General features: G+C 40.2%; 1 long non-coding RNA gene across 1 annotated transcript; it reads left to right on the top strand.

Moving 5' to 3' along the window:
* Nucleotides 1-1216: 1216 nt before the first annotated feature.
* LOC105377688 (uncharacterized) lies at nt 1217-14047 on the top strand. The gene is made up of 4 exons (XR_001742949.2): nt 1217-1343; nt 10474-10542; nt 11154-11378; nt 13908-14047. It is a non-coding gene; the product is annotated as an uncharacterized LOC105377688 (long non-coding RNA).
* Nucleotides 14048-14342: the final 295 nt, after the last annotated feature.

Here is a 14342-nt window from a genome sequence, read left to right as displayed (position 1 = left end):
TGATGAATAAATTTGTGCCAAAGGAGTGAATGCATGGACATTCATAACTGATTTGAAGTTGATTGTGGTAAATTGGCTTAAAAACAATGAAGTTGCCTTTATAAATACATGATTTCGGTCTTTCTTGGAAGGGTAGTAAATACTATTCCATGAAGAGTGGGGATGAGAAGAGGTGTGGAGAATATTTCTGAGTGAAGTGGGGAGGTCGGATTAAGATTCAGGCCCAGAATTAACCTCCCTGTGGGAGACCCATCAAAGTGTGGAAGAAGAGCGAGGGTAGGTTGAGTGGTGGTTACTATTGGATTAGAGGCAAATCAGCTCTTGATGTCAGTAGGCTGGATAAGGGAGGCTACACCCTGGCATCTAAGATCTCCTGGGAAGACTGAGACCCACCAGGCAGGTTCTGACCTTTCACTGGGAACCCCTTCTCTAGAGGACAGAATTGTCTTACTGTCTTGCATGGGAAATAGTTTTATGTTTGGTGATAGCTCACACTGTCAAATTCATCTATTTCGCTTCCAGTGCGCTCCCTTAGGGGGATATTGTACTGCCAAGTGGCCCTGTCTACGTGCCAGGCTCTAGTGGCTTCCAGAACCTGGGGTTCTGATTTCCAATGATGCTGCACTCCATCACTCAGCCTGAGTGCATTTTTTTTTTTTTTTTGACAGAGTCTCGCTCTGTTGCCTAGGCTGGAGAGTAATGGCGTGATCTCTGCTCACTGCAACCTCTGCCTCCCGGGTTCAAGTGATTCTCCTGCCTCAGCTTCCTGAGTAGCTGGGATTACAGGTACGTGCCACCACACCTGGCTAAATTTTTTGTATTTTCAGTAGAGACGGGGTTTCACCATGTTGGTCAGGCTGGTCTCGAACTCCTGACCTTGTGATCCGCCTGCCTTGGCCTCCTAAAGTGCTGAGATGACAGGCGTGAGCCACTGCACCTGGCCAGCTTGAGTACATTTTAATTTAGCACAAGATGTCACTGCGAGGGTGAAGGCTGCTGAGGGCAATGAGTTGTCAGTGGTGGTCACTGCTAGTTGCAAATGTGGTCAGTCTCTGGGTCTTGGTTCCTCAGAGCCTGCTACTCGTTTGAAGAGTTCTTCATTCTGATGCTGTGTTGTCATTGTCATCATCATCATTATCACCATCATCATCATCATAATCACCATCACAAAGCACTAATTATCCTTTAACAGGGGTAATTTTCTGGCTGAAGAAGCCCTAATCAACAGAATCTCCTTGGTCCTGCAGCAACCTTTAGAAGGTTTTTCAACAGAAAAGGTGTTTCTATTCTACCCACATCAGACTAGGAATCACAGTTCTGGGAATGATGCTACAAGTGAGCAGGTGCAGAAATGAAATGTGGGGGAAAATTTGGAGGTGGGGGTAAGATTTAGTACCAGGGCTAAGAATCAAGAGACCTGGTCTCTACTCCAGGCATTTTTTGTTTTTAACTTGGGGACTCCCATTCAGAGCATCAGTAATTCAGCCCCTTTTGGTTAAGGTCAATGCTTCTATCAACTGGACAAGCCAATGATGCTTGTCCAATCTTATTTTTACTTCAGAAAATTGTGGGAGGAGTTGAGTCAGTTATGGATGAACAAGTTTTGGGAGAATAGTAGAAGGGTGTAGTGTGAGATGTTATAGGTAAAGTATGTTAGACGATATATTCAAGATGTTCTATTGAAATGAGACTAAGGACTTTAACAGTAAGAGCTCTTAGTTATAAATAATAGAAATTCAACCCACACTGGATTAAGCAAGAAAAAGGACTTATTGGTGCATGTAATTGAAAAGTCCAAGATTGGATCTTGCTTCAGGCACAGATGGGTTCAGGACAAAAAAATATTACTAGGACCCTGTCTCTAGATTCTGCAATCCTCTCCTCTGTGTGGTGCCTTCATTCCTAGACTCCACATACGGACAAGGTGGCTGGAGGGGGTAAAGAGGCTGGTGGTTATAGCCTTTCAAGTGAAAGCCTGGTGGGAAAGTATGAATGACTCTTTCTTCCTTGCCTTGCAAGTGAAGTCCCACAATTAACTAGAATTGAGCCTGATTAGTTTGGTGTGGCCACACTTCTTTCCTGAACCAAGCACTGTGGCCAAGGAATGGAACTGGCTTATGCCTCGCAAGAAATGGAGAGCCCCATTTGGATCATCAGATGATGTGCACTTCAAATATCCACCAGGGAGACTAACCAGTGAGGAATTCTTCAGAAAAAAATCGAAATCAGTCATTACTACTAGCGAACAGTAATCTATTAGGCAAAACCTCCTTACTGTCTTACTGTTCCTCAGAGATGATATACTCACATCTCACAGACATGCGTGCATTTTACATCATGTGTTTTCTAGCAAGGATCTAAACTCACCAATCATTTCCTTCCAGAGGCAAAAGTGATCAAGGGTGTAACAAATACCTTCATGCTGTCTCTATCACACTAATTCAAAGCACTCATTTGGCAATTAACCATGCAGTGATTGCAATATAGTTTACATTTTTATTTGTATTGTCATTTTAACTCTCAAAAGCTTTGAAATATTTTAATGAATTTGTGGCTCATCTTCTATCCAGATAGTGATTTCCTTAAAGACAGAGACTATATTTCATGCTTCTTTGTCTAATACTGTATGCTCAAAAAAGTATTTGTTAGTTTTCTTTGACTTAAATATTATAATTAAATATTCTTTATCAGAGCTATAAACTGTAATGAATAAAAACGTGATTTAAAGGGAATATAAGTACCAATAGGACTTTAGGCAAACACACACATTTTCACATTAAGACCATAACCATGGAGGCTTATTTGGTGATTATAGAATGGTACTGTAGCTATTCAAATACCTTTGATAAAATGGCAAAATTATGACATGAGTGCTACTAGTCATCTGTCCAGGTCCGTGGCAGGCAAAACTAATGTCATACCACCCTTTTCGCTAAGTCTGGACATGGCTTTGGAATTTGTCTCCATATAGTATTTTAGGAAGATATTACTAATTGATTAAGGTGTTAGACCAAGAATGAAGCCTGTTTGGCATCCTGTGGTCCTGTTTTATGCTTTGGAGAGTTGCCCTCTTTGACTGAGTTGAGAGCTTCAGGGGGCACATGTGTGGAGCTAGAAGGGATGAAAGGGGCTTTTGCTCAATTAGTGGTCAATTCAGTTCAGCAACTTGGGTGACAGAGTACAGAGCCAAACCACCCTCAGAGTTGACATTAAATTCTGTACTCTTTTTCTAATATTTATTTTTATGGTATATATTTAAGGTATACAACATGAAGTTTTGATATTTACATACATAGTAAAATAGTTTCTACAGTCAAACAAAGAAACATATTCACCATCTTCCATAGTTACCTTATTTTTTTTTGTACTAAGGGCACTTAAAATATACTCTCTGAGCAAATTTTCATTATACATGTGATTAACTATAGGCCTCATGCAGTACATTAGATCTCTAGACTTATTGATTCTACTTAACTGCAAATTTGTACCCTTTGACTTTACCTTCTAATCCCGAGTACCACATAAAAGACACATCTCTGGTAGTATCATATTCTCTTTGAAAAAGAGATAAGATGTGTTCATTAATATTAGCATGTCTTAGAAAACTCACTCATTGACAAATCTGAAGTAGAATCTACTACGTGCTACATTATTTAGGGAAACTGGTTATGGAGGGAACCGGGGAGCTTTTGCAGAAGAGCTGCCATTTCAAATGATCTTTGCAGGGTATGTAATTTTTTTACAGAGAAACAAAGTATGTGTGTAGAAGGGGAGGGGTAAGATTATTGGACAGAGAATATAATAACATTTTTGTAATATTTGCAATGTTTGCAAAGGAACGTGCATAAGTAAGTTAAGTGAAACATAGTTTGTGATTAAGGAATAATGAGTCATCAATTGTGGCTACAGCATAGGGTTCAAGAACAGGTGTGTCAGCAGGTAATGCCGAAAGAATACAGTGACACCAGATTTTGATGAGCCTTGAATATCATATTAAGTGGTTAGGATTTGTCCTATGAACAATCACGTTATTAAGTAGGAGAGAGGTAAAGAACTTAGATCACTTTCGCTATAGTGCACAGTATGGCCAGGAGGGGTTATAAGACTAGCGAACAGGAGATGGGCAGGGAAGTCACAATGAGGACCTGAACTGGGACAGTAGCCATGGTGTAGATAGGAGAGAGCAGAATAAAGACAGACATTAAGTTCATGAGATGCTTAAGGGACAGGGTGGGAATCAATGACATCTTTGAGATTTTTGGGCTTGACGATTGATGCTTTTAATTGAGGAAGAGAACATAGGAGGAGGAACGTATTTGCAGGAAGGACCTAGTATGGTTTAAAGAATGTTGAGGTCAAGATTTTCATGCAGGCACCCAAGAGGATATGTTCAGTTAATTACTGGGTATGTTGATGTAATGTTCAAAAGGCGAGATAGTAAATAGAATTGGCAGTGAATGTTTGAAGTCAGCATTAATGAGATGAAACCGTAACAGTGGTTTCACCCATAACTGATCCAGAACAGTGGATCAGTTTTCCTAGAGTGAGAAGGGCACTGAAAACATAACCCTGGGAACACCAACTTTTATGGCCTAGGTAAAAACAGAAGAACCCTTGTGGAGATAGAAAAAGAGTGGTCACAGAGGTAGGAAGAGAAATATCATTGTACCTCGAGAGAGAAGATTTCGAGGAAGAAAAACCTGCTATTGAGATTAGATTGGAAGAGAAGCAAGTTGATAGGATTGTCAGATTTTGTAAGTAAAAAATATAGAACAGCAAAACTGGTAAGGGAATCGATTTGGTGTCAAAAGAAAGTGAGAAATAAAAAAGTAGCCTGGGAAGAAAAGAAAATTAGAGATGTTTCTTGCATTTTTTTAGAAAAATAGGAAAACTTAACGTGCTTGTAGGGTGACAGAAAAAGGAAGTGGAGAGAGATGAAGGAATGAAACAAGAAAAAGCGATAATTGCTGGAGTGAGATTCTGGAGGATAAAGAGAACATTTGGGAGGTCAGCCTTAGACAGGAGATAGAACAGCTTTTCTGTGGAGGTGAGAGGTGATGAGGAAGAATAGGCAGTGGTATCGATACATCTAGAAATGCAAGAGGGAAGCTGAAGGGGTTTATGCACGACAGCCCCTCTTTTTCTTTGTGGGCTAGGGCGGTTCATCATTTTGTGAGAGCTGGTAGGGGGGCACTTGTGTGAGCAAGATATTGAGCCTAAAGAAAATGGTCAAGGAAAATGTCTTGGGTGCTGGAGAGGGGAGTTTAAAGGTATGGGTCTGAAAAAGCAGTATTTGCTACTGAGGCTAAAGCATACCGGAGTGGACAGAAAGGACTGTTTGGTGGGGAAAAGGATATGGCATTTGGAAGCAGATAGGTCTGGATATAGATCCCGGCTCTGTCCATTTGTGTTCATTACCTTTCACTAGGCCATGCTGTGTAACAAATAGATTCCAACTCTCAATGGCTTACAAAATATTTCTTTCTTTCTCATATTACATAGTGTTGGCTACAGGTCAGTTGTAGCTCTTCCTCAGGCATTGGTGGGCTCAGATTCATTTCTTACTGCAAGACCCAAGTTAATGGAGAAGCAGCTTTTGGGACATGACTTCTCATAACAGAGGGCACAGGAACAATAAACCAAGTTGAATCATGCAATCATATTAAAAGCCTTTACTTGGATGGATGTGACCTATGCTGTGTTTGCTCATGTTCCATTGGTCAAAGCAAGTCAAATTGCCAAGACCAACATCTATGTGGTAGTGATAAATACCAATATGGGGAGAAGGAGGTGAAAATGGAAAATAACAATGCAAGCTACCACATTGTCTAAAGATTTTGAAACTCTGGGCTTCAGTTATCCCTTGTGCAATACAGTGATATCAGCATTTGTTTTCTAAAATTGTTGGGAGGAAGAAATAAAATTAATTTGTGTATAAAACCTACTATAGTGCCTAGTGTAAAATAATATTTTATGCACATGAGATTGCCTTGCCTTGGTACTCAGAATAGTGCATAGTTCCAATGTCAGAGGGAATTAAACTTTCTGCTCCCCATTTTTCTTCTGCCAAATGACTGGATGATGTGTAAGAGCTCTTCTGACTCTAAAGTCCTCTGTTTCTAAAAATCTTATACTAAAGAATCAAATAGTCCCTTACCCTAAAAGTACCCTCTAGCTAAAGAGGAAACTTTAAGTTTGTCAGAGGTTTTATTTGGCTTGCCTTTCCTCGACCCAGCCAACTACCAGGGGCAGAGAAAAGACTTGTTCAAATAAACCTAAGAAACCTATAGGAACCAAAGTGCACGGTAGATCATCTCATCATCCATTAGCAACACTGTTTGAGCTTACAAAAAGAGTGACGCTTCACAGAGAAAGGTCAGGATATTCTCACTTCACCTGGAGGAGTTTAGCCACCTGGAATAATAAGCTTTGCTGGTGAGATGTGAGATCTGACAGTGAGTGAGGAAATTGTTGAAGAGGAGGCATTGAAAATGCCCGGAGACTTCCCAGGTGTCACCTGCTGCCTTGTAAATGTGTGAAATCCTTGGAAGGGTGTCTGGCAGAGCCCCAGAACCTACCACCATATGTCATTGACTGTTTCACAGAGTGGAAGAAGGTATAGGCATGTCTGAACAATGTTCAAGTGATCAATTATATCAGTTAGGATTGTGAGTGGCTGCAAGGTACAGAGACCAGAGGAGAATGTCTTATACAAGACAGGGTTTATTTTATCAGGTAATCATACATCTGCAAGTAGGCAGACACTGCTTCACACTGGTGCCAATGGCATGGGCATTTCTGTTGTGAATCAGTCTAGAAGAAGGTTGGTATGCAAAGATTTAGTAGGTGGCAAATTGAAATGTAGACTTAGACCCAAAGACTTCAAAGGTGCATTCCAAATTTAACTTACAGTTTGGGGGAGGGGTGGTTTACCAGATGCCTAATCTAAATACATAGAAATTTAAAATTAAACAGAGTTAGCCGGGCACATTGGCTCACGCCTGTAATCCCAGCACTTTGGGAAGTCCAGGAAGGCAGATCACTTGAGGTCAGGAGTTTGAGACAGGCCTGGCCAGCATGGTGAAACCCCATCTCTACTAAAAATACGAAACTTAGCCAGGCGAGGTGGCAGGCACCTATAATCCCAGCTACTCGGGAGGCTGAGGCACAAGGATCACTTGAACCTGGGAGGCAGAGGTTGCAGTGAGGCAAGATCACGCCACTGCACTCCAGCTTGGATGATAGACTGAGACTCAGTCTCAAAAAGAAAAAAAAAATTAATTAATTAAACAGAGTTAATTGGTCACGTATCTAAGTACCTGCCTTGGTTCTAGTCTGGCTTGGGTTTGTAAGTAATAGAACAAAATACAAGACACAGTCCAAGTTTAAAAGTAAATGAACTTAATATACATAGAAAGGAGATTATTACATGTAGGGAAAGGCTGGTAAAAAAAATCATGACAATCTTTCTTCTATCTTTGTACAAATCTCTATTATTTCTACTAGAATAGCCATCACCCTCCTGCATCCCTCTAGTTATTCTAGTCTCCACACAGCAGTCAAAGAGATTTTTAATAAATATTAATTAGATATCCCTCCTATGCCTAAAACCCTCCAATACTTCCATTGAATTTAGTGCAAAATCCAAACTAATTCCTCTGGTGTACTTGATAGGCCCACCCTTCCCCTTCAACCCTATCTAGCACCAGTGTCCCCTTACCTCTCTGCTCTAGCCACACAGGCCTTCTTTCTGCTCACATCAGGCTAGTTTCTGCCCCACGGCCTTTGCACTTATCATATACTTCACCTGGGCCACTCTTCCCTCAGAGGAAAGGTGGAGTCCTTTCAATGCACATGTCACTTTTCCAGAGTTCTTTTCCCTGATCACCCTATCTGAAGTAACCCTCCTCATCCTCCTGTTTATTACATTCCATTATCCTGTGTTTAAAATAATTACTGTCACCACCTGAATGTATCATATTTATTTGTGGTTTTTCATCTATGGTAGACTGTAAGCTCTATGAGGGTATAGCCTGGCACATGTATACACCCAGTAAGTACAGATGCTCCTCGACTTACAGTGGTGTTACGGCCTGATAAACCCATTGTCAGTTGAAAATAGTGTTAGTCAAAAATACATTTAAAGAGAACACTTCTACACTGTTGGTGGGAATGTAAACTAGTACAACCGTTATGGAAAACAGTGTGGAGATTCCTTAAATAACTAAAAGTAGAACTACCATTTGATCCAGCAATCCCACTACTGGGTATCTACCCAGAGGAAAAGAAGTCACTATACAAAAAAGATACGTGCACATGCATATTTATACTAGCACAATTCACAATTGCAAAAATATGGAACCAGCCCTAATGCCCATCAATCAACGAGTGGATAAAGAAACTGTGCTATATATATATGATGGAATACTACTCAGCCATAAAAAGGAACGAATTAATGGCATTCACAGCAACCTAAATGGAATTGGAGACTATTATTCTAAGTAAAGTAACTCAAGAATGAAAAACCAAACCTCACATGTTGTCATTCATAAATGGGAGCTAAGTTATGAGGATGCAAAGGCATAAGAATGATACAACGAACTTTGGGGACTCAGGGGAAAGTGTGTGGGGGGGTGAGGGATAAAAGACTACAAATTGGGTTCAGTGTATACTGCTCGGGTGATAGGTGCACCAAAATCCTACAAGTCACCACTGAAGAACTTACTCTTGTAACCAAAAGCCACCTGTTCCCCCAAAACTTATCGAAATAAATTTTTTTTAAAAAAATATGTTTAATATACCTAACCTATCCAATGAATATCACAGCTTAGCCTTGACAACCTTAAACATACACAGAACACTTACATGAGCCTAGAATTGGGCAATATCATCTAACACAAAGCCTATTTCATATTTCATAATAAAGTGTTGACTATCTTAGGTAATTTATCGGATATAGCACACTGAAGCTTATCAGTTGTTTACCCTTCTAATGGTACATCTGACTGGGAGCTATGGCTCACTGATGCCCAGCATCATGAGAGAGTATCATCCTGCATATTGCTAGCCTGGGAAAAGATCAAAATTCAAAATTCAAAGTACGGTTTGTACTGCATGTGTAGTGCTTTTACACCATCGTAAAGTCGAAAAATTGTAAGTTGAATCATCATTCACTGGGGACCGTCTGTATGTGCTAAATAAATAGACAATCAAGTGTTTTAGGTTTTCTAATCATTCAGAAAAGAGGGATATTGTTACAAATTCATGAGTCAGGGAGCTCACTGTGGCAGAGAGGGGGATGGGCTGGGCTCAGAAGAAAGAGAAGGATTTGGATTGGGGGGTACCCAGGGGAAGCCATGGGTGTGGTTGGGGTTGGAGAGGCAGGGTCTTCGTGGTGATTCTGCTTCTTAACTGACAGAAAAGAGGGCCCACCTCTCTGTCCCTGGCAGATCACAGAGAGACCAGCCTTTCTTAAGGAAATAGGACCAAGGGCATGGAAGCAAAATACCCAGATGACTTCATCAAAAGAAAACATGCGACTCTTGCATAGACCAAAATAAACTCCCTAGACTGACGGGGTGGGGCCAAGGGACAGTTCTTGAGCTGAAGAGAAACTCCAGGACCTTCCAAGGCATTCTTTGAAAAATGCTCTTTGGATAAAATGCAACTTAAAAATAACTTCTGTTGGGTGTGGAGAGGAGAACAACTCAAATATTGGGGCCAGAAACCCAGAGTAAGGGCCAAATTTGGGCTAAGAAAATGCTAGATTCTCGAGATCTTTGGAAAGCAACTTCTTCCCTCATTTATTTACAATGAATAAAGTTTCTTAGAAACAAATACAAGGAAATCAACAATTTGTAATTTTTAAAGTATCAAACAAGTATGCTAATCAATAAATAGATTATCTTCCAGTATGATGAGAGAAAATAAAATCTAATAAAGGTCTAGGATCCAAGATAAACAAATATGACACCACTGGAGAAAAAGATGGTATTTAGAGAAAGGCCAAATGAGGTGGTTCTAACCCTTAGAGCAAGGGGTGTAAGGCATTCAAATGTAGCAGAGATTGCACTGGCCTGAGAAGCAGGCTCACCTACAGGGAGAATCCAGCTCTACCACTCTTGTTGTGTGACCTTAGGTAACTTACTTCACTTCTCTTATCCTCAGTTTCTTCATCTTTAAAATGGGAAAATTCATACCTGCCTCTCAAAGGTACTGTGGAGATTAAATGAAGTACTGCAGAAAAACTACCTCAGAGAGTATCTGAATGTTAGAAAACTTTAAATAATATTGGAATTCCACTTCTCTCATATCACTTTAGAGGGTTGGAGAAATTGGAGAGCTTCAGAGTTTGACACCTTATGAAAGCTGAGAGTCCTTAACATATTTCCATTAGCAAATATTTATTAACTTCTGTTTGTAAGACACAGTGATGGATAAGATGTAACACAAAATTCTTGGTCTCCTTATCAGGGAGTGAAATAGTTATTGATTACCACAACAAGATGCAAAAAAAACCCGAAAACTTAGAGGATTAAAATGGTGAGTATTTATTTAGCTTACAAATCTGCAAGTTGGAAGTTTAGGCTGGGCTCAGCTGGGCAGTTCTTCTGGTTTAGGCTCATATGTCTGGGAGTTGACTGACTATTCGTTGGTCTAGGATGACCTCAATGGGCGTGACTGCCTGGTCAACATGGCTTTTGTTCTATGTGTTTCATCCTCTAGCAGATTGGCCTAGGCCTGTTCTCATGGTAAAGGTACAGGAGTAAGAGTAAGCAAGCCCAATTGTACAAGTGCTTTTCATGCCTTTGTGTCACATTAACTTAACATACTATTGGCCTAAGCAAGTCATGTGGTTAAATGCAGAATCAGTATGAAGGGAATATATACCTGCATGTCAAAGGATATGGATGAAGGTAGGGATAAATAAATGAGGTCATTAATGCAATTAATCTACTTCAAGGGAACTAGATAAATATATAGATAATTAAATTTTATATAAACACATTGAACAAACATACATATATAATTAACATAAGATGAAAGATAATACTTTGTAATCACATAGCATTTACTGATTTTAAAGAACTTTCCCTCAAAACCTTCTGGCTTAATTATCCTCTATGATTCCCGTCACTGTTCCCATTTTGCAGATAAGGAAAGTCACAAGGACAGTAACGAGTAAAGCCTGGACTTGAACTTCTGATGACAAGCTTCCGCTTTGCCTCACAGCCTCTTAGACCAAGATCCAAATGAGTAAAACACACACAAAAGAGACAGGTATCACCATGAGCTCGTGTGGCCAAGAAGCCTTTGTATTGACTGAACTTACCTTGGAAGTAAATGCATGTACAGTAATAAGTTTCAACTTTTTTAAGGTACCAAACCCACCCTTTTTTTTTTTGACAGATCTTATGTAGAACCTCCAAGTATTTAAATGGATAAAAAGCTATTTTATATCCTAACTTTATTTTTAGATTCAAATGCATAATATTTACCTATTATGCAATCAATATATAAGAACAATGAGGCCATTCTGGGGAACTCAGGTGTTTGAAATCAAAGACAGATATCAAATGGGGACAGTGCAGTCTTGGGGTCCAGTGTGCTCCTGTAATTTGTTTAGCCTGCCCACTAGAGTGGACTGCTGTTGTGGACCTAGTCTCTATTGTCTACTTTCCATACCTCTCCCCACCCCCAATTCTGGTCATGTCGTTCTGGAGTAGGTGGTCCCACTCCCAGCTAGAGAGGTAGGTCTGGGAGGCGGGATTCAGGAGCACCAGGAAACAGAGGCTCTTCCTGCTGCCTCGAAGCTGGAAGAGCATCAGCCTGGGGTTGCTGGGGGCAACCACACCTCAGCACTACGTAAAGGAAGAAGCCAACCAAGGGGAAAGCACTACCCAGATGAGCAGGGGCTCAGGACTGCACAGGACACCACTGAAGTGTCTGGATCTAGCTGGAACTTAATCCAGTGCTACCCCTAGACGTTTCTGTTACACAAACCAGTAATATCCCTTTTGTCTTTTAGGCCAGTTTGATTTGGATTTCTATCTTGTGCAACCAAAACATATCTAATATATCCAATATTAAGAAAATCTGGCTCAAACAGATTAGTTGTAATAATAATATGGTTTTAAAAGCAGTTCATCTTGTAATGTCAGGAAATTCTTTAATAAAAAGATAGCAGAAGACTTATTTCAAGATTTATATATACTTTGACACAAAAGTGTGAGATACATTAATATATATGTTAGACTCAAAGCATTAAAAATTGATATGTGGCACATTTGAAGGTATGTTTGTTTATTGCAGATTTTAAAGTGGTTTATATGTATTTAAACATGAAATTTGAAGAATATTTTTAAGGATCCCTCAGATGTCCTTTAGATCTTTTGGGTCCTCAGGATGTGGTTGAAAAACTATTGATAGAACAAAACAGGAAGCAGTCTAAAAGAATATTCTAGGTCTCTAATACATGTCTTTTATCACCAGAACAAAACATGACATACACAGTGACTCTTGGACACATTATAGGGACCTAATTAGCATCCTCAGATGAGATCCATCAGATTATTCTTTTCTCCTGGAAAAGGATGGAAAGGGAGGGGCCGAGAGAGAGAGAAGCTAACATCTTCTCCTTTCTTCCTCCTCCAACATCAGAGTTCTAAAAAGTCTTGAATATTTTTCCAAAAGATAACTGGTGAGAGGTGTTCAGCAAAATCCTAAAACTCCTTGTTGTATTTAAGTTTTATTTTTTTATAAATGGGAAAACTCATTGACAAGCCATTAATGCTTATGATCATATAAGAATTTTCCTTCTTGTGCCAAATATTATTTCATGGTTCCTTAAAAGTATGAGTAAAACAAATATAAAAACTGGCAATTTATACTGTTGAGTCAGACCATGAGTTCATAAAAAGCAGGAACAATGCTTACTTCTTTGGATAGTGTCTAATTCAGTTAAGTAAAAATGGGAACTTCTTTTATAAAACCACTTACATACCTATGATGATGAAAATGGGAGAAGAGGATTCCAGTCTTGTTCTGGTGACCTTTGGAAATCTCATATTCAAAGGCTTAGAGGTCTAATCCCCAGAGACTTTTACTATTTTCTCAGGATAAGATTAATTAGAGGAAGCTGGGGATGTTTGGTGGGTCCTTCCTGAACTGTCAGAGACTCCAAGATACTAGAGATGGAAGGGATCTTAAATTTCCAGTCCAGCTGCCTCCTACTACAAGATCTTTGATCTCTTCTCTGCCTGGCAGCTTCTTTCATGGCTAAATTGAGTTGAAAATCTGTTGTGAAGGAATATGAACCTGTCTCGCTAGAACACAATGTTTCCATCATCAGTGATAGAAAGCAGAGTTCAGTGGATCATGAAGCAAGTCCTTGTAGGGTAACTTTGGTGGTCTTGCATGCACACAAGGAGAAGCAAGATCTGAACAGGATCCTGTGATCAAAGAAGAATCAAGGGTTCTAGGAGACTTTGGTAGATAAGAGCGTTGGTAGTACCCTTTTTCAGTTTACCTGATATCCACATAAAAACAAATAAAATACATAACAAAATAAAAAAATTAATGGCAAGGTATTTCCATGAATCCCAAATACAGGCTGTGGGGATAAAGCAGCAACTTCCCCAAGACTCACACAGTGTTGGTGTCTGGGCATGCAGAGGGAAGGGAAGCAATGTAGTATCTGATAGACCCGAGAACAGGAGAAACTCAAAACAGGAGCAGTAACTTACTGCAGAACACATGAAGCAATTTGAGAGTGGCAGCTAAAACTAGGAGGCATTTTGCCTGAGCCATCAGCTGGGGAGCATAAGGGATCTGAGAAAAAGGTGGAGGATCTGGAGCAATTTAGCCCCTATGAACTCCCTAAACTGACACCTTGGTCTCCCTTCTAGGACATGGGCTCACAAAGGGAAAAACTGCTGGGAGTAGAATAAAAACTGAGCAGGATACAGACAACAGAGATGAAGAAAAAGAAGTCCAGTTACAAGGAGATGGGTGGGGAGGAAGAGTGAGAAAATCCTAGAAAGCAAGCCAGGTAAATTGTAAGAAAAGGAAAGAACTGGCTGGGTGGGGTGGCTCATGCCTGTAATACCAGCAGATTGGGAGGCCGAGGCAGGTGGATCACTTGAGGTCAGGCATTTGAGACCAGCCTGGCCAACATGGTGAAACCCGTCTCTACTAAAAATACAAAAATTAGCTTGGCGTGGTGGGGCACATCTGTAATCCCAGCTACTTGGGTGGCTGACGCACAAGAATTGCTTGAACCAGGGAGGCGGAGGTTGCAGTGAGCTGAGATCATACCACTGCACTCCGGCCTGGGCGACAGA

The sequence above is a fragment of the Homo sapiens genome, chromosome 5, assembly GCF_000001405.40.
Source record: "Homo sapiens chromosome 5, GRCh38.p14 Primary Assembly".
Classification (NCBI taxonomy): Eukaryota; Metazoa; Chordata; class Mammalia; order Primates; family Hominidae; genus Homo; species Homo sapiens.
Note: the sequence above shows the minus strand (reverse complement) of the source record. Positions and strands in the feature narration are given on the sequence as shown.